Source organism: Homo sapiens, chromosome 1, assembly GCF_000001405.40.
Source record: "Homo sapiens chromosome 1, GRCh38.p14 Primary Assembly".
In the NCBI taxonomy this organism is placed as follows: domain Eukaryota; kingdom Metazoa; phylum Chordata; class Mammalia; order Primates; family Hominidae; genus Homo; species Homo sapiens.
The window spans coordinates 37,454,748-37,476,008 of record NC_000001.11 but is presented as its reverse complement, the minus strand read 5'-3'; the positions used below and the strand labels follow the sequence as shown (position 1 = coordinate 37,476,008).

General features: G+C 48.2%; 1 protein-coding gene and 1 long non-coding RNA gene across 7 annotated transcripts in view, besides 6 other annotated features; one reads left to right on the top strand and one right to left on the bottom strand.

The window, feature by feature from the left end:
- ZC3H12A (zinc finger CCCH-type containing 12A) overlaps positions 1–1,429 on the bottom strand; it is a 9,798-nt gene extending 8,369 nt beyond the window's left edge. For 3 of the 6 annotated variants that reach the window (NM_001323551.2, XM_011542198.3, NM_025079.3), the window contains exons 1-2: positions 1,380–1,429; positions 70–550 (exon numbers count right to left, since the gene is read on the bottom strand). Coding sequence is in view for 5 of the 6 variants with exons in the window: in XM_011542198.3 (XP_011540500.1) it covers positions 70–512 (443 nt within the window). In the remaining variant the exon portion in view is untranslated. The remainder of the gene's footprint in view (positions 1–69; positions 551–1,379) is intronic. The other 3 variants (XM_047430885.1, NM_001323550.2, XM_047430886.1) reach the window with 1 other exon arrangement.
- Positions 485–584: an enhancer, noted in NCBI's record as "active region_766". NCBI's record gives its function as "activates an Ori minimal core promoter by ATAC-STARR-seq in GM12878 lymphoblastoid cells {active_cell/tissue: GM12878}" and the evidence as "EXISTENCE:reporter gene assay evidence [ECO:0000049][PMID:35858748]".
- Positions 1,235–1,694: a silencer, noted in NCBI's record as "silent region_671". NCBI's record gives its function as "represses an Ori minimal core promoter by ATAC-STARR-seq in GM12878 lymphoblastoid cells {active_cell/tissue: GM12878}" and the evidence as "EXISTENCE:reporter gene assay evidence [ECO:0000049][PMID:35858748]".
- LITATS1 (lncRNA induced by TGF-beta and antagonizes TGF-beta signaling 1) lies at positions 1,566–21,130 on the top strand. Its single transcript, NR_038842.1, has 3 exons — positions 1,566–1,865; positions 19,550–19,642; positions 20,097–21,130. It is a non-coding gene; the product is annotated as a lncRNA induced by TGF-beta and antagonizes TGF-beta signaling 1 (long non-coding RNA).
- Positions 2,155–2,254: a silencer, noted in NCBI's record as "silent region_670". NCBI's record gives its function as "represses an Ori minimal core promoter by ATAC-STARR-seq in GM12878 lymphoblastoid cells {active_cell/tissue: GM12878}" and the evidence as "EXISTENCE:reporter gene assay evidence [ECO:0000049][PMID:35858748]".
- Positions 20,062–21,261: an enhancer, noted in NCBI's record as "MED14-independent group 3 enhancer chr1:37920349-37921548 (GRCh37/hg19 assembly coordinates)". NCBI's record gives its function as "activates an origin of replication core promoter dependent on BRD2, BRD4, P300/CBP and CDK7 cofactors, and independent of MED14, by STARR-seq in HCT116 cells {active_cell/tissue: HCT116}" and the evidence as "EXISTENCE:reporter gene assay evidence [ECO:0000049][PMID:35650434]".
- Positions 20,170–20,691: an enhancer, noted in NCBI's record as "H3K27ac-H3K4me1 hESC enhancer chr1:37920919-37921440 (GRCh37/hg19 assembly coordinates)". NCBI's record gives its function as "activates a minimal SCP1, AML or CMV promoter by ChIP-STARR-seq in naive H9 embryonic stem cells {active_cell/tissue: H9 hESC(naive)}" and the evidence as "EXISTENCE:reporter gene assay evidence [ECO:0000049][PMID:30033119]".
- Positions 20,692–21,213: an enhancer, noted in NCBI's record as "H3K27ac-H3K4me1 hESC enhancer chr1:37920397-37920918 (GRCh37/hg19 assembly coordinates)". NCBI's record gives its function as "activates a minimal SCP1, AML or CMV promoter by ChIP-STARR-seq in naive H9 embryonic stem cells {active_cell/tissue: H9 hESC(naive)}" and the evidence as "EXISTENCE:reporter gene assay evidence [ECO:0000049][PMID:30033119]".

Here is a 21,261-nt window from a genome sequence, read left to right as displayed (position 1 = left end):
CCTTCCATGTGTCCTGGCCACAGGAGAGATGCGAACCTCATGTGTCCTGGCCACAGAAGTGACACTTACCTCATGGCCACGTTGCTCCCATCGATGACCACTGGTCTCAGGTCGCTGCCCTCCTTTTCCTCTTCTGGGAGTGGAGGCTCCAGGTTGGGAGCCTTAGGGGTGCCACCACCCCGCGGGACTAGAGGGAGCTGAGGGCAGGGGTCCGGTGAGGTCTGGCGCTCCCGCTCGGTGGCTGTCCCGTGTTTCACCAGCTCACCCAGCACCGTGTTGGTGTCTGCCTGGACGCCCAGCTTCTGCAGGACGCTGTGGATCTCCGTGGATGAATAGCCCAGCTTCCGGAAGAAGTCCACCTTCATCTGCAGTTCCAGGGCCGAGGCCTCCTCAGCGGCCAGCTCTTGACCCGGCCTTGGGGTGCCCTGACGGCTGTGGCTGTCCTCAAATTCCCACAGACTCATGGTGGGGCTGGCTTCCAGGACAGGCTTCTCTCCACAGGGGCCACTCATAGCTCAGACTCCTGGAAGGCCCCGCGCCACAGCTCCTACTGAACAACCAACAGGGTTAGGGACGGTGAATAGCGCTCTCTCCTAACCTCCCTCCCAAAACCACATCCAGCAGGATGAGGGATTGGTGGCACTACACACTGCATCGTGTTATTAGTTCAGGTTGTCCTCTCAAAAGCTCTCCCAGCTAGGCATTCCCATTCCCATTCTATAAAGGGAGAAACTGAGGCACAGACATTAAAAACGTGCTCAAGGTCATCCAGCTGTTAGCTGGTGGCTCGAAGATCGGAACTTAGTCTGAACTAAGACTGGAACTACCCCAGCTGTAAAGCCTCGAACCCCCACGCCAACCCAGGGGACCCAGAAGGCAGGGACGGGGCTCTCAGATGGAATCCTGGGGCTGGAAGTGCGTTGCGGGGCCCAAGGCTTCCCCACTGAGGCCACCACTTTCGCCCACCCGTCCGGCACTCAGAGCTCAGGCCCAGGCAGCGCAAGGCCCATGGCCGGACTCCCGGAGCCGGGGAGGGCAAGTTTCTGGGGTGACCCGTGGGGAGAAAAGTTGCTGGAAAACTTTGGTTGGCTGCCGGGAGCTGGTGACGCCGAGGCTGTCCCGGCCCGAGACCCGCGCTTGCTCGGCCCGCGATCCCGATCAGGAACCTGGTGCTCTTCCCCGGCTCTCCCAACTTGGGCAAAGTTGGAGGGGTCCTGAGGCCCGGCGGGCCGGGGAACAGGACCCCGACCCTTCCGTCCCCTCCCCTCTCCACCCCTCCCGTCCCCTCCCGTCCCCTCCCCTCGGCTCGGCTCGGACCCCGCCGGAGCGCTCCCTGCCGCTTCCCCGCCGAGGCCCGCACCCTCCCCGCCGCGCCTCACCCCGCCATGCGCCAGCGGCGGCCGGCGGCGTCTCCATGGGGCCGAGTCCTGGGGGTAAGGACGGCGGCGCCTTTATATGGGGCGGCGCGCGGGCAGGTGGTGGTGAGGCACTGACGCGGAAGCGGGCAAGGGGCGGGGCCGTCCCGGGAGACCGCCCCGGGGGCGGGGCTGCCTCGCCCCTTCCTGCTCCGCTCCTCGCGTCGCGGCCCCGCCCCCGCGGCCGCTGCGCGCCGGACGGGGCCCAAGCGGGGGTCGGAGCCTCAAGGCTGCGGCGGCGACGAGCTCCGAGCGGGACACTGAACGGCCCGTATGCGCAAGATAAGCACGGACTGAATCAGGTACACGCACCTGCCGGGGACGCACTGACCGAGGTGCGGACGGCGGTACCAGGACAGGTAAAGCCGCGAACACTCGGACCTAAGAACTTGACAGGTACACCCTGCCTGATGAAGCTACGTACGGCCAGGTGCGCATCGAGTGAATCAGGTACGCGGAGGTTGGTCCACGCACCTTGGAGGCAGGTCCATGGTTATAGACAGGTACATCCAGACAGGCACTTTTCAGATGGAGTCAGGCCCCCTCAAGACACACTGTGCTTAAAGCCGTCACACAGAGGTTGGCCACCCCCGGGGCCAGGTACACTTTTCCTGAAATCTGTACTTTACTAGGACCAAAAGGCAGGTTCAGTCAGCAGATGCACAATGACCGAGGCAGAAAACCAGGCAAAAGAGGGCCATTTACCCCAATCACCACATGAATACTGTCCACACAAGAATACTGTCACCCATACCGCAGAACTCACTGAGCGCCCCCACTGGAGGAGCACCCTTGCTCCATGAAGATGCTTTTAGTTTCCCAGGTCAGACCTGATCCCTCGCATGAGCACAGCACTTTACAGGCTTACACTCACGGGCTTACAGACAGAGGTCATTATGCTGATGTTACCCTTGAGAAATTCTGCAAAGGCTAAACTGCCCCAGCTGGAAAGACTCGAACCAGGATGGAGAGCTCCTATTCTAGTGCTCCTATTATTTGCCATTTTTGTGAACCACGAGTGACTGAGGGCAGAGGGGAGCCTGGCTTCCTATGTGTGTGTGTGTGTGTGCGTGCGTGTGTGTGAGTGAGAGAGAGAGAGAGAAAACACAGAGCCCACACGCTGGAGGACAGAGCCACATGCCACCAGTGCTTACTATGTGCCAGTCCTTTGTTACATTCTCTCTACCTCATCATAGGCATGTATCCTATAAGTGCTAGTGTTATAATAAATACTTGTTTATTGTAAAAGACACCATAGACACAACTGTACATGTACAGCTTAAAGAATAATAGTAATAATAAAAAAGCCATGTATCCATCACCTAACTTAAAAAATAGACCAGTGCCAGTACCTTGAGGCCCTCTGGGTGCCCCCATCACAGCCTCCTGCCCACATCCTGAAGAACTAGTTTCCTGAACTTTAATTGTGCTAGTCATTCTCTTGCTTTTTCTTGTAGTTTTACCACCTCTGTATGCATCCCTAAGTGGGATATTGTATAGTTTTGCTATTTTTTACTTTGTGTAAACGGAGTCATTCCATAATTATGTGACTTCCTTTTTCATACAGCATTATATTTTTAAAAATCCATTTTGATTGCCTGCATACCTGTAATTTATTTTACTACTGAATAGTGTCCCATTTTATGAATATACCACTGGTTACTTATTCAGTCACCTGCTGTTGGATGTTGTTTCTAGGATTTTTTTTCTATTACAAAGACTGTGCTTTGGATATTCTTGTATGTATCTTAATGAAATTGTACAGTGGAGGAAATGGATGTTCAGAGATTCAGAAAGGTGAAGTCACCTGCTCAGGCTCTGGGGGCTGGTGGAGCTGGAACTCATGTAGCTCTCTCCAAGGCAGTCCATCTCCCCATCCACACCTGCTTGTTCGGGAGGCCACCAAAGACCCCAGGGAGGCAGGCGTGTACGTCTCTATCTGGACCCTGAGGCTGTTCCTCTGGGCTTGCTTGCTCTTACCTAGCGGTGTTCCTGCTTTGTTGCCTGGTCATCTTTGAAGACCCCAAAGTGTCCCCTTCTCTGCTCCCCAGGCACAGCAGCTCCAGGGGCTTGGCAACCCAAGGAGAGAGGAAACACAAGGCCCCCTGCTGCATGCCAGCTCACATCCCATGCTGGGCACCTCACATGCTTGCTGTCACTCCAGCTGAGTGCGGTGCCGGCGGCACCCCTAACCTCACAACAGTCCCTTTTACAGATGAGAAGAGCTCAGTTATGTTAAGCATTTATTCGCTATAGCAACTACCTTTAAGATAGTAAAAACATTAAGTGATGTGTCCAGGTTAATAATGATAATGACAATACTAATCAATCATAGAGATAATGCCTCCCATTTATAGAGTGCTCACTGGGTGGCAGGCACCAGCTAGCGCCTTGCAGACACTTTCGGGCCTCTGCTCTGCTTCTTCCTTGGCTTGGAGTGCCCTTCCCTCTCTCCCACCCAGCTGCTTCCTAGCCAGTTCCATTCATCTTTTGGATGATGTCACCTCCTCTGTGAGGCCAGCCAAGACTCCTTTGATGCTGGTTGTACCCTCCTAAGTGTCCCCACAACACCCTGCCTATGTCCCAACGTGTTAGATTGTCTTTGCCAGCCTGAGACCTCCTCTGGAGCTGCAACAAGACCAGACTCTGCTCCTGCTCCCAGACCCTCTGCTGCCCAGCCCTGTGCCAGTAGGAGCCAGCAGGACTAGGCGATGAGTCATGCTGCTCCCTGCCCTCCCAGAGAGAGCCACAGTCTCGCTGTCTTCCGGCTCATGCTACTTCCCAAGAAGCCGACTCTCCTCTACAGAACCCACGGCTTCTTTGGGGAACCCCTGCTCCGTTTACAGCTGGATTTTGCAAACTTTGGCCCTAATCCCCAGGAGTTCTCTGAAGCCGAGCCCACACAAACCCCTCTGCCTCTCGTATGCCTGTCTTGGCAGCTGGGCTGGCTAATTTCCTTCTTGGAGCCTGCCTGGCCTCCCACCATCTATCTGCCTGTGCCCAGCCAGCGTAGGTGGGGTCTGCAAAGCTTGTGGACTGGTCACTGCCTGAGGGTGGTGGGGGGTTGGGAGATGAGGTTGGAGAGGGAAAGGTCCCAGGAATGACCTTGGCTTTCAGTTGCTTCACTGGGCAGCTCAGCCTGGGGAGGACCCGGGAACTGGGCTACCTCTGTAGAAAGGCTGGGCAGGCTGCCCTCAAGCCTTAAGGGAGTGGCTGCTGAGGTGATGTTTAAATTCAACAAGGCCTCCTAGAAGTGAAGAAAGGACCAGATCCCTCCCATGTTTGAGACTCCTGGTATATTTCTTTTTATTTTTTATTTTCGAGATGGAGTCTGGCTCTGTCGCCCAGGCTGGAGTGCAGTGGCGCGATCTCAGCTCACTGCAAGCTCCGCCTCCCAGGTTCATGCCATTCTCCTGCCTCAGCCTCCCGAGTAGCTGGGACTACCAGTAGCTGGGACTACAGGTGCCTGCCAACACACCTGGATAATTTTTTTGTGTTTTTAGTAGAAACGGGGTTTCACCGTGTTAGCCAGGATGGTCTCGATCTCTTGACCTCGTGATCCGCCCGCCTTGGCCTCCCAAAGTGCTGGGATTACAGGCATGAGCCACTGCTCCCGGCCAGACTCCTGGTATATTTCAAAAAGACATGTCACAGCAGGGCTACAAAAATCAATGTATGTTTTAAACGGTAACTGAACAAATTAACTCTTTTTTTTTTAAATCATGCATTCAAATGCGGTGCAATATATTTGGACTATTGACAAGATAATTGGAGAACTTGTATTAAAAATACATTATTTCCTTGGAGAGATGGCTGATTTTAGGGCTGGGACAGGGAAAGGATGAGCCGGCAGTGTGCTGTGGTGCCAGGGATTTAGGAAGCGCTCAAAACACAAAAGGATGGGAGTGCGTCAAAGGGATCCAGGAGCCAGAAGAGCTCCCTATGGCCAAAGCTGGAGCAACTGAGCAAGGGAATAAATAATAGGATAATATTGAATTATAACCTAAAGTATAAAATAAATATTTATACTGATATAAATAATTTTTTTGTTTTCAGAGCCAGGGTCTTGCTCTGTCGCCCAGGCTTGAGTGCAGTGCCGTGATCATAGCTCACTGTAACCTTGAACTCCTGGGCTTAAACGATCCTCCTGCTTCAGCCTCCTGAGTAGCTAGGACTACAGTTGTGCACCACCACGCCTGGCAAATTAAAAAAATTTTTTTTGTAGAGATGGGGATCTCGCTATGTTGCCCAAGCTGGTCTTGAACTCCTGGCCGGAAATAGTCCTCCACCTTGGTCCCCCAAAGTGCTGGGATTAAAGGCATGAGCCACCATACCCAGCCCTGATATAAATAAATTGTTGAATCAATAACCTACTGGGGGAGAAGAGGCAAGTCTTCCTTACAGAAGAATTTCCAATAATGAATGCAGATTGTTTCTCCTCTAGGAGGTGGAGCTTAATTATTCCTTTCCCTTCCCTTTCCTGTACACTGGACTCAGGACTTGCTTCTAAATAATAGAGTAGGGAAAGAGAAGAATAGTAACTATACAATGGAGAAACCTGCAGACACCACTTTAACCAAGGGCTCAAGGTTAACATCACCAGTGATAAGTCTAGTGGCTATCATGTAGCTAACCCTGCCCCCTCCACACCATGCTATATGACCAGAAGGATACTTCACCTCTGTCATATTCTTTCTAAAACTCCATAACCCTGGAGAAAAAGGTCAGACAAACCCAAATTAAAGGTCATTCTGCAAAATACCTGACTAGGACTCCTCAAAACTGTCAAGGTTGTAAGAAGCACAGAAATAATTAAAGCATTGTGAAAAAGAAAAAATCAAAAGCATAGAAAGACAGCAACAGCCACGGACCAGAGGACACCGGACATGCTGCCTAGATGCAGGATGCCACTCTAGGTCATGTCGTGGAGCAGAGAGAGCAGGAACAGAGAGGCTGGTGAAATCCAAATAAGGTCTGCAGTTATGTTACTAATGATGGACCAATGTGGGATTTTTGAGTTTTGAGAAATGTACCAGGGTGGTGTAAGATAACATTAGGGGAAACTGAAACTGGAGGTTGGGTATTCTGGAACTGTCTGTACTATCTTTGCAACTCTTCTGTAAACCTAAAGTTAATTCCAAAATTCAGAAGTTAGGCTGAGGCAGTCACATCACCTGAGGTCAGGAGACCAGCCTGACCAACATGGTGAAACCCCGTCTCTACTAAAAATACACAAATTAGCCGGGCATGGTAGTGGACACCTGTAATCCCAACTACTTGGGAGGCTGAGGCAGGAGAATCACTTGAACCAGGGAGGCAGGGATTGTAGTGAGCTGAGATCGCACCACTGCACTCCAGCCTGGGCAACAGAGCGAGATTCCGTCTCAAGCAAAAAACAAACAAACAAAAAACAAACAAAAAAACCCCAAAAACCCCAAATTCAGAAGTTTATTTGGTAACTATATATATGTGTGTGTGTGTATATATATATATATATATATATATATATATATATATTTAGTTACCAAGAGAAATGTACCAGGGTGGTGTAAGATAACGTTAGGGGAAACTGAAACTGGAGGTCAGGTATTCGGGAACTCTCTGTACTATCTTCGCAACTCTTCTGCAAACCTAAAGTTAATTCCAAAATTCAGAAGATATATATATATATATTTACCATATATATAATTTTATGGGCCTTACAGATGGTGTGTTTTGGTGATAGGTCACCCATCTCTTTTCAGTTCTATTGGTCTGCATCCTGTGACTGAGTACAATCCTATCTGGAGATAGCATCTGAAGTCCAAACTTGCAGCCTTTTTGGCTATGGAGCCCTGGCCAGCTCCTGTCTCTCTTCTCTCTCAACCAACCCCCATGCTGCTACCCCTCCTCCCTGTTTCTGAACCCTCAAATCAGACTGCTAGAGCTAGGAGGTCTCATAGAGATTGATTAGCCTAAATCCTTTGTTTCTTTTTTTTTTTTTTTTGAGATGGAGTCTCACTCTGTTGCCCAAGCTGGAATGCAGTGGCATGATCTCAGCTCACTGCAAGCTCCGCCTCCCGGGGTCAAGCAATTCTCCTGCCTCAGCTTCCCACATAGCTGGTATTACAGATGTGTGCCACCACACCTGGCTAATTTTTGTATTTTTTTTTTAGTAGAGACGGGGTTTCACTATGTTGGTCAGGCTGGTCTCAAACTCCTGACCTCAAGTGATCCGCTGGCCTCCACCTCCCAAAGTGCTGGGATTACAAACATGAGCCACCACACCTGGCCTTGAATTTTGTTTCATAGATGAGGAGACTGGGAGAGAAAGAGGAAAGGGACTTGCCCCCGGCCACGTGCCAAGTTAATTTGGACAGAGCCAAGAATGGGACTAGCCAGGCTTTCTCTGTCCCGGGATCTCTGGCCCCATTTGCCACAGAGATGTGGGTCAGACCCACACAGCTCTGAAGTATTGTTGATTCACTTGGGGACCTGATTAGGGCAATGCTAAATTCAAAGGAAGGGCTGAATCCCAAGTATTAGTTGGAAAGAATAGTTTAGAGTGGAAATTTCTGCTTTGATCTCACTGTGCACGCCCTTACCAGGTGAATCTCACCAGTTTTGAAGGTCCAGGAAGAGGCATGGCCTGAAAGTGGATAAAAGATTGAGTCTGTCTCTGCCCCCTACTTCTGCCCCCAGAGCTATTGCAGTAAAGGGGCCAGAGAAGATTCTGCAAAGCCCTTAGCATGTGAAGAGGGGTTGGGTCCCCAGTTTTGGGGTTGAACACTCCCTAATGTGCACTGGGGACACCACTCTGGTGATAAACTCAGAGCTGCTGGAGAGCCCCCATAGCCTTTCCTGAAGCCTAGAGAGTAGGAGATGGGGCTGAGGTGGCCCTGCCGCTGAGGCTGCTACGTGGACATTCATCCCTTCTGGCCTAGGAGGGGGAAGTGCCTCCCTTGCTGTGTTTCCATAATGAACTGGGATGGTCTGTGCCACCATTGTCTCCCCACCTGACTGTGGCTCCTTGAGGACGGCCCTGAGTCTCACTGTCCTCTGCATTCCCAGCACAGGACCTGGGACGGATGTTGGTAAATGTTTGCTGAGTCAATGCACGCATGAGCTGAAGTGGTTCCAGTTATGTTTTGCTGTGTACATGTCTGTTGTACCGTCTTTACCATGTCCAGCTCGTGGACCTCCCCTTGCATCTGAAAAAAGCAGTCACGGGGAACTCGGCTGGAAGGGAGCTCAAGGCTTACCTAGGGTCTCTAGCTGAGCCATCTGTGAAGGTTCAGATGGGAGTGGGGAACTAGAAGCTGAACATAGATGAACTTGCGACCAGGGCAGATCTAACCGGAGTCAGGAGCTTGCAGTGGCTGGGCTGACGTCAGCTCATGGGGTCAGTGTGGCCACCCACAGATGGGGTGGTCATAGTGAGCACCTCACAAGATATGGGGATCACTAATGCACAGTTCACATGGTGGTCATCTGTTCTGATGGCAGTTAGAGATACCACTGGCCAATAAACATGCCGTAGGAGACTTGCTGGTGCTGGTTGTCTCTCCCGCCGCCTTTGCTGGATTCCCCATTCCTAATGGTATTGGAAATTTCTCAGCCATGTAATCTGGTCAGAAGGGACCCTATTCTAGCGGTGGGGCCTAACTGCCTTAAGCAAATCAGAATATTTCTTTCTTTTTCTTTTCTTTTTTTTTCTTTGAGTTGGAGTCTCACTCTGTTGCCCAGGCTGGAGTGCAATGACTCTATCTCGGCTTACTGCAACCTCCACCTCCCGGGTTCAAGCAATTTTCCTGCCTCAGCCTCCCGAGTAGCTGGGATTACAGGCACCTGCCACCAGGCCCAGCTAATTTTTATATTTTTAGTAGAGATGGGGTTTCACCATATTAGCCAGGCTGGTCTCCTGGCCAGATTGGTCTCGAATTCCTGATCTCATGATCCCACCTGCCTGAGCCTCCCAAAGTGCTGGGATTACAGGCGTGAGCCACTGTGCCTGGACTGCAAATCAGAATGTTTCTTAGTTTTTTTTTTTTAGTGAGATGGGATCTCACTGTGTCACCCAGGCTGGAGTGCAGTAGCATGATCTCGCCTCACTGCAGCCTCTGCCTCCCAGGCTCAAGTGATCCTCCCACCTCAGCCTCCTGAGTAGCTGGGATCACAGGTGCATGCCACCACAGCCGGCCATTTTTTGTATTTTTAGTAGAGATGGGGTTTCCCCATGTTGCCCAGGCTGGTCTTGAACTCCTGAGCTCAGGCAATCCAGCTGTCTCGGCCTCTCAAAGTGCCTGGGATTACAGGCATAAGCCGCTGCACCCAGCCAAATCAGAATATTTCATCCTTCAGGCTACAGCAATTGGTCAGAAAAAGGTATAGGTCCCAAATCAGGCCAACCAGAGTGAATGGGTCTCAATTCTGAGTCTTTTCTTTGAGCTAACTGGGAAACCAACTACTTCTTGCTAATTACAAAGGAGAAAAGCAAGTATTGCCAGGAGCTTCTGGCAGCCACCTTGTGACACATCATAGGAGACAGAGCCAAGAGACTGAAAGAAAATAGGTTCTTGGTAACAGCTGCTGGATCAAGCCTTACTTAAAGCTACCCCTGGTTCTAGGCTTGTTGGTTATCTAAGCCCACAAGTTCTGTCACAACCAAAGATATCCCTTTTAATGGTAATAATAATTACTTAATTACTAAGTATATAATAATTACCTAAATACAGCTTAGGAGATAAAATCTTAGAAAATATGAGATCTGTTTGGCAATAGTAAAACACTCATAGTGAAAAGGTCAGCAGAATGCTGAATCAGCTCAAGCTCAGCTACCTCACACATGACAAATATAAGACCTAGAGAGGTCATGAGACTTGTTCAAGGTTTTACAGCTGCTTAGCAGGGCCTCCTGATCCACAGTCCACTAATTCTTAATTGTTTTTCTTTTCTTTTTTTGAGACAGGGTCTCACTCTGTTACCCAGGCCGTAGTGCAGTGGCGTGATCTTGGCTCACTGCAACCTCCGCCTCCTGGCTCACTGCAACCTCCGCCTCCCAGGTTCAAGCGATTCTCTTGCCTCAGCCTCCTGTGTAGCTGGGATAAGAAGCGTGTGCCACCCTGCCCAGCTAAATTTTATATTTTTTTGTAGAGATGGAGTTTCACCATGTTGTCCAGGCTGGTCTCGAACTCCTGGACTCAAGTGAGCCACCTGCCTCAGCCTCCCAAAGTGCTGGGATTACAGGCGTGAGCCACCATGCCTAGCCTAATTCTTAATGTTTAATGGTAATTAGAATACTTGAATTTCTGTGCATTCCCAGTGAAATCATCACTACATGTTTTCTCTCTTGTCTTGCCTATCTTTCCAAGAGGCAGAGAAGGAATGTTAATATTTGTCTTTATTTTGTAAACAGGGAGGTAGAAACCCAGAGAGGCTTAAGGATTTGCCAAAGATTACAGCAGGGTAGTGGTGAAGCTGGTCCTAGGAGCCACATGTGCTGAATGCCATTTAGGGTTCAGCCCCTCCACCCCACCCCTTATGCCAGCCACTTCTGCTTCCATGAGAGCAGGAGTAAAGATTAGGGATAGGGTGGGGACCTTTCCTGGCCTTGCTTCTTAGTGGACAAGTGATTAAAGAGGACATTGCCTTGTACAGGCCAAAGAAGTGATTATGGGCCTTGAGAGATAAGTCCTTCCCCCCATCCTTAGGAAAACCAAGGTTATGAGGCTCAGAGAAAATAGGATATTTCTATTGCCAGAGCCTCCAAAAGGGAGGCCAACCTAGAGAGATGGGAGGCTGTATGCATGGGTTTCTGGCCTTACAATCCCTGTGACCCCAGCTCTGACACCTACCCTCTCCTGCCCCCAAAGCCTTCTATGGCTCCCTAACCTTTTCAGCAGCCACAGGGCTGATGTGTTTGGCTGCACAGGTGTTGCACTGAACAATTTTGGATTCTGATCTGTATGGCGCCTCTGGAGTTGTGCAGTTCACAGCTTGCACAACTGTACACGGCAGGCCTAGGTTGCCTTTCTCAATGTTTGGACATTCAGATCATTTTCACAGCAATCAATGAATGACCTTACAAACCCTTTTTAAAAATAAATTCATTTCATCATTTTTACAAGCTATAGAAGATATGTTGAGAAAATTTATTTTATTTTAGATCAGTCTGATCCCAAGGATTGTATTAGAAAGTGTATATGTAAAAAGATGCATTATTTTTAAAGGCTACTTTTGATGATTTTCTACTTAATAAAGGGATGCCTACTGTTTAATAGAATTTATATCTGTCAGGAGAGTTTTAGGGAAGAAAGAATTAAATTTTACGAGGAAAAGCAAGGTTTACAGACAAATAAATTAAAAATAAGTTGTCAGGCTTGATTTGGGAACTGAATGTTTACTGAAATTATTATTGTAGATCGAAATTTAACTACATGCTATGAATTACAAAAATAAATATACTTTCAGGCCAGGTGTGGTGGCTCACGCTTGTAATCCCAGCACTTTGGGAGCCTGAGGCAGGTGGATCACTTGAGGTCAGGAGTTTGAGACCAGCCTGGCCAACATGGTGAAACCCCATCTCTACTAAAAATACAAAAACTAGCTGGGCGTCGTGGCACATGCCTGTAATCCCAGCTACTCGGGAGGCTGAGGAGAATCACTTGAACCCGGGAGGCGGAGGTTGCAGTGAGCTGAGATTGTGCCACTGCACTCTAACCTGGGTAACAGAGCAAGACTCCGTCTCAAAAAACAAACAAACAAAAACAAAAATAAATATACTTGCAATTCATGGTGGTTTAGAACGTTTGCATCTTATACTTCATTCTTGTGATTTATTTAGTTGTTTTAAAAACAAACTTTGTGCTTGGTTTCTAAATGAAGAGATAAGAGAGAAGATATCACCTCCTCAAACAACCCATTTCAGCTATGAATAGCTGTTATTTCCAAAAGATGAAAAGCTAAAATGACTACATTTTCTCTTAAAATGTTCATTTTTGAAGTTCTAGATTTTTTTTTTGGTCGGGTGCGGTGGCTCATTCCTGTAATCCCAGCACTTTGGGAGGCTGAGGTGTGCAGATCACCTGAGGTCGGGAGTTCAAGACCAGCCTGACCAACATGAAGAAACCCCGTCTCTACTAAAAATACAAAATTAGCCAGGTGGCACATGCCTGTAATCCCAGCTACTTGGGAGGCTGAGGCAGGAGAATCGCTTGAACCTGGGAGGCGGAGGTTGCAGTGAGCTGAGATCGTGCCACTGCACTCCAGCCTGGGCAACAAGAGTGAAACTCCATCTCAAAAAAAAAAAAAAAAAAAAAAAAAAGTTGGTTTAAAAAAATTTTTTTGAACAGGTGATCCATTAACAAGGTAGAGGTTCAAAAGGTGCAGGGATATTTATGGTAGAAACAGGATCCCTTTCCCCTGGTCCTGGTCCTGGGAAGTGGCTCTGCTATCTAGGAACAAGCAAAGTTAGCAGTTTCTTATGTCTCTTCTCAGATGGAATCTATGCGTCCAGGAGCAAATGTTTGCACATATATATTTGGCTTTGTTTCTTTCTTTTTCTTATTTCTGAGGATATCTTGCTCCAGATTTTTTTCTCTCTTTTCCTTTTTTGTTCTTATTTCTGAGGTGTTGCTCTTTATTTTTATATAAACGAAGCTCTTTCTATAACCAGCTGCACCTTGCTTTTCTCACTTAAAAATAAACCTTTGAGATAATTCCAATCAGTACATGTTAAGCTGCCTCGTTACTGTTAATAGCTGACAAACATTCCATTGGAAGAATGTACCATAATTTATTTAGGCAGGTTTTGACTGATTAAACATTTTGTTTTATTCCACTCTTTTTTTTTTTTTTTTTTTTTTGAGATAGGGTCTTCTGTCGCCCAGGCTGGAGTGCAGTGGTGTGATCTTGGCTCACTGCAGCCTAACCTCCCAGGCTCAAGCCATTCTCCCACCTCAGCCTCCCGAGTAGCTGGGACTACAGGCATGCACCACCATGCCCAGCTAATAATTTTTTTTTTTTTTTTTAGATAGAGTCTTGCTCAGTTGCCCAGGCCGGAGTGCCATGGAACGATCTCGGCTCACTGCAACCTCCGCCTCCCTAGTTCAAGTGATTCTCCTGTCTCAGCCTCCTGAGTAGCTGGTATTACAGGTGCCCACCACCACACCCTGCTAATTTTTGTATTTTTAGTAAAGACAGGATTTCACCATATTGGCCAGGCTGGTCTTGAACTCCTGATCTCAAGTGATCCACTTGCCTCAGCCTTCCAAAGTGTTAGGATTACAGGCATAAGCCACCGCTCCCAGCCCTGGCTAATTTTTGTATTTTTTGTTGAGACAGGGTTTCGCCATGTTGCCCAGGCTGGTCTCCAACTTTTGGGCTCAAGTGATCCTCCTGCCTTGGCCTCCCAAACTGTTAGGATTACAGGCGTGAGCCACCACACCCAGCTTCTCGTTACTGTTAACAGCTGAAAAATATTCCACTGGAAGGATGTACTATAGTTTATTTAGGCAGTTTTTGGCTGATAAACATTTAGGTTTTTTCCAGTCTTTACTATCACAAACAATACTGCAATGTATGCCTCCGTCTGTGTATCACTTTGCAACTGTGCAAATACGTAGCAGGGTAAATTCCTCTTGCTGAGTTAGAGTTTGTTGATTTGGTAGGGCTGCCATCACAAAGTACAAACTGGGTGGCTTAAGCAACAAATCTATTGTCTCAGTTCTGGAGGCTGGGAACCCAAGGTCAAGATGTCAGCAGAATTGGTTCCTTCCGAGGGCTGTAAGGAAGAACCTGTTCCATGCCTCTCCCACGGCTTCTGGTGGTTTGCTGGCATTCGTTGGCATTCTTTGGCTTGGAGAAACATCACCCCAATGTTTACCTTGATGTTCACATGGTGTTTTTCCTGTGTATATGTCTATGTCCAAATTTCTTGTTCTCATAAGGACTCGTCATATTGTATGACCTCATCTGAATGAATTACATCTGCAATGACCCTATTTCTAAATAAGGTCACATTCTGAGGTACTGGGGCATAGGACCTGAACATACGAATTTTTGGGGATGCAATTCAGCCTATAACAAAGGGTATATAACCATTTACTTTTAGAAAAATATTGCTAAATACCCTCTTCATAGAAATTGTACCATCGGCTGGGTGCAGTGGCTTACGCCTGCAATCCTAGCACTTTGGGTGGCTGAGGTGTGCAGATTGCTTGAGCCTGTGAGTTCAAGACCAGCCTGGGCAACATGGTGAAACCCTGTCTCTACGAAAAAAGAAAAAAAAAAAAGCTGGGTGCGGTGATGTACATCTGTAGTCCCAGCTACTTGGGAGGCTGAGGTGGAAGGATCGATTGAGCCTGGGAGGCGGAGGCTGTAGTGAACCATGATCACACCACTGCACGGCAGGCTGAGTGACAGAGTGAGACCAAGAAGAAAGAAATTGTACTGTTACCTTCCCAACAGCCTTGCCAACACAGTGGGCCATCACACATTTTGATTTTTGCCAGGCTGGTAGGTGGAAAATGGTGTCTCATTGTATTCCAACGTGCATTCCATTTATAAGTGTGGATGAGAGTTCTCTTATATATTTAAGACCAATTTGCCTTGTTTTTGCATCCAGTTGTTTACATCATTTGCTTCTTTTTCTTTCTTTCTTTTTTCTTTTTTTTTTCGAGATGTAGTCTCGCTCTGTCGCCTAGTCTGGAGTGCAATGGCGTGATCTTGGCTCACTGCAACCTCCGCCTCCTGGGTTCAAGCAATTCTCCTGCCTCAGCCTCCCGAGTAGCTGAGATTACAGGTGCCCACTGACACTCCCAGCTAATTTTTTGTATTTTTAGTAGAGATGGCGTTTCCCTATGTTGGCCAGACTGGTCTCGAACACCTGACCTCATGATCTGCCTCCCTCCGCCTCCCAGAGTGCTGGGATAACAGGCGTGAGCCACTGTGTTTGGTCTCATTTGCTTATTTTTCCATTAAATTATTGGTCTTTTATCCTTATTGATTTGTAGAAGCTCTTTAAGTGTAAAAGAAATTAGCTGTCTGTGATATGTTTCCGATGTTTCTTTTCCTGTTAGTCAATTGTTATTTGACTTTGTATAAGAATTTCTTTTTTCTTTTTCCTTTTTTTTTGGAGACAGGGTCTTGCTCTGTTGCCCAGGCTGGAGTGCAATGGTGTGGTTCCAGCTCACTGCAGCCTCAATTTCCTGGCTCAAGCGATCCTCCCACCTCAGCCTCCCAAGTAGCTGGGACTATAGGCACACACCACTAGGCCCAGCTAATTTTTGTATTGTTTGTAGAGATGGGGTTTCATCATGTTGTCCAGGCTGGTCTCAAACTCCTGGGCTCAAGCAATCTGCCCACCTCGGCCTCCCAAAGTGCTGGAATTACAGGTGTAAACCATCATTCTCACCTTTTGTTTTTTTTTTTAACCAGGAAAAAATGTTCAATTTTTTTGTATACAAACATCATTTTCTTTTATGGTTTTGGGCTTTTCTGTGATATTTAATAAGGTCTTTTCTTGCCGGGCACGGTGGCTCACACCTGTAATCTCAACACTTTGGGAGGCCAAGGCGAGTGGATCACCTGAGGTCAGGAGTTCAAGACCAGCCTGACCAACATGGAGAAACCCCGTCTCTACTAAAATACAAAATTAGCTGTGTGTGGTGGCATATGCCTGTAATCCCTGCTACTCGGGAGGCTGAGGCAGGAGAATCACTTGAACCCGGGAGGTGGAGGTTGCGGTAAGCTGAGATCACACCATTGCACTTTAGCCTGGGCAACAAACGCAAATCTCCATCTCAAAACAAACAAACGATGAACAAAACAGAAGGTCTTCTCTATGATTATGATACATATTCTCTTATTTTGTTAAATGCACTTACGGTTTCATTTTTATGTGTAATTTTGACCCACTGAAATTTATTTTGGCATAAGGTAAAAGGTAGGAACCTGGCTGGGCGCAGGGGCTCATGCCTGTAATCCCAGCACTTTGGGAGGCCGAGGCGGGTGGATGACAAGGTCAGGAGATTGAGACCATTCTGGCTAACACGGTGAAACCTCGTCTCTACTAAAAATACAAAAATTAGCCAGGCATGGTGGTGGGCGCCTGTAGTCCCAGCTACTTGGGAGGTTGTGGCATGAGAATTGCTTGTGCCTGGGAGGCAGAGGTTGCAGTGAGCCGAGATCTGACCACTGCACCCCAGCCTGGGTGACAGAGTGAGACTCTGTCTTAAAAAAAAAAAAAGGCTGGGCATGGTGGCTCTCACCTGCTGTAATCCCAGCACTTTGGGAAGCCGAGGCGGGTGGATCATGAGGTCAGGAGATCGAGACCATCCTGGCTAACATGGTGAAACGCCATCTCTACTGAAAATACAGAAAAATTAGCCTGGCTTGGTGGTGGGTGCCTGTAGTCCCAGCTACTTGGGAGGCTGAGGCAGGAAAATGGCATGAACCCAGGAGGCAGAGGCAGAGCTTGCAGTGAGCCGAGATCGTGCCACTGCACTCCAGCCTGGGTGACAGAGCAAGACTCCATCTCAAAAAAAAAAAAAAAAAGACATGTATTCCATGGGAAAACTCTTTGAAAACGTTGGGCTTCATCTAAGGCAAGCTTGTCCAACAAGCTTGGCCCAGGACAGCTTTGAATGCAGCCCAACACAAATTTGTAAATTTTCTTAAAACATTATGAGACTTGTGTGTGTGTGTGCATGTGTGCGTGTGTTTAGCTCATCAGCTATCATTAGTGTTAATGTATTTTATGTGTGGCCCAAGACAATCCAGTTCTCCCAGTGTGGCCCAGGGAAGCCAAAAGATTGGACACCCCTGATCTAAGGGGTTGAGTCCTAACCACGCTACCTCCCAGTGCTGCCACCTTGAGTAACTTGCTTCACCTGTGTCACATTTCCCTTCAGTTTTAAAATGGGGGTAATAACGGGAAGCTTTTGTAAGGCCTCAAGCTTCTGTAGTTTGGAGGGCTCTCTTACAAATTCCAAAAGGGAAACACTTCCCCTGCAGGGTCTGGGAAGGGCCCCTGCAAGTGAGAGGACCTGAAGGTTTAAATGTCCTCAGCATCACTGAAAACCCACCTTTGATCATGGTATCTACTTAATAGGGCCCTGGGGAGTACGGAATGTGTCTTAAGTATCTGGCATCTAGTATGAGTGTGGTGAGTCCATTCCCAGACTACAAACTCAGGTGTGCAGGGAACATCACTCCCCCCAACCACATGCTTCTGTTTTTTTTTTTTTTTTTTTTTTGAGACAGAGTCTTTCTCTGTCACCCAGGCTGGAGCGTAGTGGCGCAGTCTCGGCTCACTGCAATCTCCACTTCCCAGGTTTATGTGATTCTCCTGCCACAGCCTCCCAAGTAGCTGGGATTACAGGCACCTGCCACCATACCCAGCTGATTTTTGTATTTTTAGTAGAGACGGGGTTTCACCGTGTTGGCCAGGCTGGTCTCAAACTCCTGACCTCAGGTGATCCGCCCGCCTCGGCCTCCCAAAGTGCTGGGATTACAAGCATGAGCCACTGTGCCCGACCCCATGCTTCCTTTTAATTAGGAACATCACTTCCTTTACATGCCACAACCTACCTGAAGTTTTGACGCCAAGCCCCCACTTTCACTGAGCTGGCAAACACGCTCCTTTGAGTCACTCTTGAAGTTTTAAGTGCACCTTGCTCTGAAGCAGAGTCAAGACCTGGGAGTGAGGGGAAAGATTTGTTGTCCCTTGGTTGTCTGTTCATCCCGATCATGGCTGAGGCATCTAATGTCCCTTTCTGAAGGTGGCCTCATATCTTCAGCCCTCCACTGCTTCTGAGCCGTGCATGGGACTTGGGGATCTACGAGGGGCCCAAGGAGTGCCATGTAGCACTCCTGCTTGTGAGGACAGCTCTGTTGGTGGGTCTGCCGGCTCTATTCTAGGTCACATCAGAGATCTTCCCGAGAATAACCCATGCTGGCTAAAGCATCGGATTGGGTGCAGTCAGAATTGAGGTCAAATCCTGCAAAACCTGTTTTCCTCATCTGCAGAATGGAGAAGATGCTAACAATACCTCCCTCATCGAATTGGTGTGAAGAATTCAATGTCTTGGTGTTTGTAAAGGGCTTAGGATAGTGTCTGACATGTAGTCCATGGGATGTCTTGATGCAGGTCATCATCTCACCCTTGTTCATTATTGGATGGAGAAACCAGGGTCCCAGAGACACTGGCCGGCTGGGGCAAGATCACCACTCATTCCTATCAACAGCTGGGTTAAAGGTGCAGAAGACATGCTTATTCGATTTGCAGGTGACCCAAAACTAGATGCAGTGGCTGGTATTTTAAATGACCAAACAAGAGCCCAAAATCCCCTAAAGCGGATGAGATGATGGACTAACCCCTCTACGGATGGATGTAAAATTAAAATTTTTTGCATGAAAGAGATTTTGGCTGAAGGTTCATTGCACATTGAGATGGTTGCCCCAAATGATTGTGGTCTCAGGCTGAGTCTGTAGAGGTACAGGTTGACGATGAGGGAGGTGATAGCTGGAGGGTTGTGCTCAACTCTGGTTGTCGTACATTTGAGGAGACAGGGAGAGACCAGAGTCCAGTTTGTGGAGGGTAAAGGTTAGTGAGGAACTGGGGATACTGATCTTGCAGAAGAGAAGACTCAAAAGGGCAGAGGCAGGAACAGTGGTATAACCCTGCCTGGCTCCAAGGGCAGAACTGGCACCCATGGAGATAACAGGGGCCTGAGAACCAGCTCTGTGGCTATCAGAACTTTCCCACAGTGAATCAGAGTGCCTTCAGAGGTGGTGAGCTCCCCATCACCAATGGTATGCAAGCAGAGTGAGGAAAGGATTCCTGTTTCCAGCTCTCAGATGGTTTTATCAACAGCAAAAAAACTAGACCCTACTGATAAAAATTTCTGTTGGCTATATATACACATATAGTTAACAAATATGTAATCCATATTTCCCCTATTTTAAGGTTTATTTTATTTTATTTTTGAGACAGGGTCTCACTCTGTCACGCAGGCTAAAGTGTAGTGCAGGATCTTGGCTCACAGCAGCCTCTACCTCCCGGTTTAAGCCATTCTCCCACCTCAGCCTCCTGAGTAGCTGGGACTACAGGCTCCTGCCACTACACACCTGGCTAATTTTTGTATTTTTTGTAGAGACGAAGTTTCGCCATGTTGCCCAGGCTGATCTCAAGCTCTTGGGCTCAAGCAATCCACCTGCCTTGGCCTCCCGAAGTGCTGGGATTACAGGTATGAGTCACCACGCCCAGCATACTTTAAGAAAATGAATATTATAGAAATTGGGACTAATTTACAATCAATGCGTAGGTTTACTGTATCCTTCCTTCCTGAAAAGTTGTTATTTGAATCAAAATGAAGTATATGATTGAGCAGGTTTTTCTGACACTCTGTTTTTCATCTTTCAATCTGTTTTTCACTTTTGTCATTAGAATGTATGTCTTGAATTTAAAAACAAAGTATCTAAATAAATAACAAATATTTTAAAAATCCAGCCTTCTTAGTGAAGCCACACTCAATCTATTGAATACATCTTCTGCTGACATTCCACCTTGTCGCCGCCATCTTGGCCTCTGAAATAGAATGGAGACCGGCTATTAAACCAGTTTTTAGCAAATTCGGAGCAGCAGGTTCTTGGCTGGGGGAAAAAAATTCCACTTATCAAGAGATGTTTATTCCTTCAAAGGGTGAGAACCTACTTCTTCATAAAGAGAATTTGGAGGGAGCTTTTTGTTCTGCGGGGACAACATCTGGATTTGAATACATCCATGCTCAAAAGGAGATTTCTCATAATGGACCCAACTGAAAGCACTCAGAGTACAAGGACCGGTGAGCTTTCAAAAGGAGACACTTCGGGAGACTCGCCAGGGGCCCTCGTATCCCCGGCAGCGCGAGTTTTGGAGGTCAGTGGAGGGCTCTCGCATCATGCATGTAACTTTCATACTCAAAAACTTACCTTCATCCTGCATCCCTCACCCCCCTGCAGAAACTTGGGGCTTGAATTCATTTAAAAACATTTGCGGTTTCAGAAGCCTTCTTTTTATTATGAAGCTGCCAAGGAGATCTTAGAATGAAAGGCATTTTTAGAGATGAGAAAGAAGGAAGCCAGGCCAAGGCTGGGCCGGCTCTCAGCCGTGGGTCTGTAAAGGTGACACGTGGGACATGGCCACCTGCAGACCCTGCAGGCGGCTGGGCAGAGGCACCCACAGGGACCTGGGTTTGAATCCCTGCTCTGCCAGTCATTTCCACAGCGATCTTGGGGGAAGTTGTGTAACCTCTGGGCCCTGCGACGCCCTTTCCTGGAGCCTGGAGCTGGAACGAAGCCCCTTGGAGCCCTGACATCAGAGGTGACGTTAGTCTTCGCAGGCAATGACTCGGCGGAATGTGATGCCACTCCCTAACCCGTGTCCGGACTGGCAGAGTGTGTGCCGCCTCCCACCAGGTGGTCTGGCTGCTTTGATGGATCTCCTAACTTCTCTGCACCCCAGAGCCCTCAGTGCTGGCCAGACCTTCACTCACTCCTGGGTGACAACCCCGTTCTCAGATAGTGGGTCCCACAGGCTGGCCTGTGGCGCCCCCTGCTGGTGACTGCAGGGAGAAGGATGCCCTAAGCCAAAGGAAGTCCTTCCTGGGGTCTAATCTCTACCTTTTGCATGATGAGGCAGCTGAGGTGGCTCGCTTTCTCCTCCACCCCAGAAAATAAAGTCATATGGAGTCCAAGCAGTTATTTTTCTCTGCTAGGCCAGTCCATCATAAGCCCCAAATGGAGGGGCCCCTGGAATGAGCCCTATGCAGGCCTTCTATGGACAAGGGCCCTTCAGGGAGTAGGGCTGTGGTGAGGATGGGGTGCA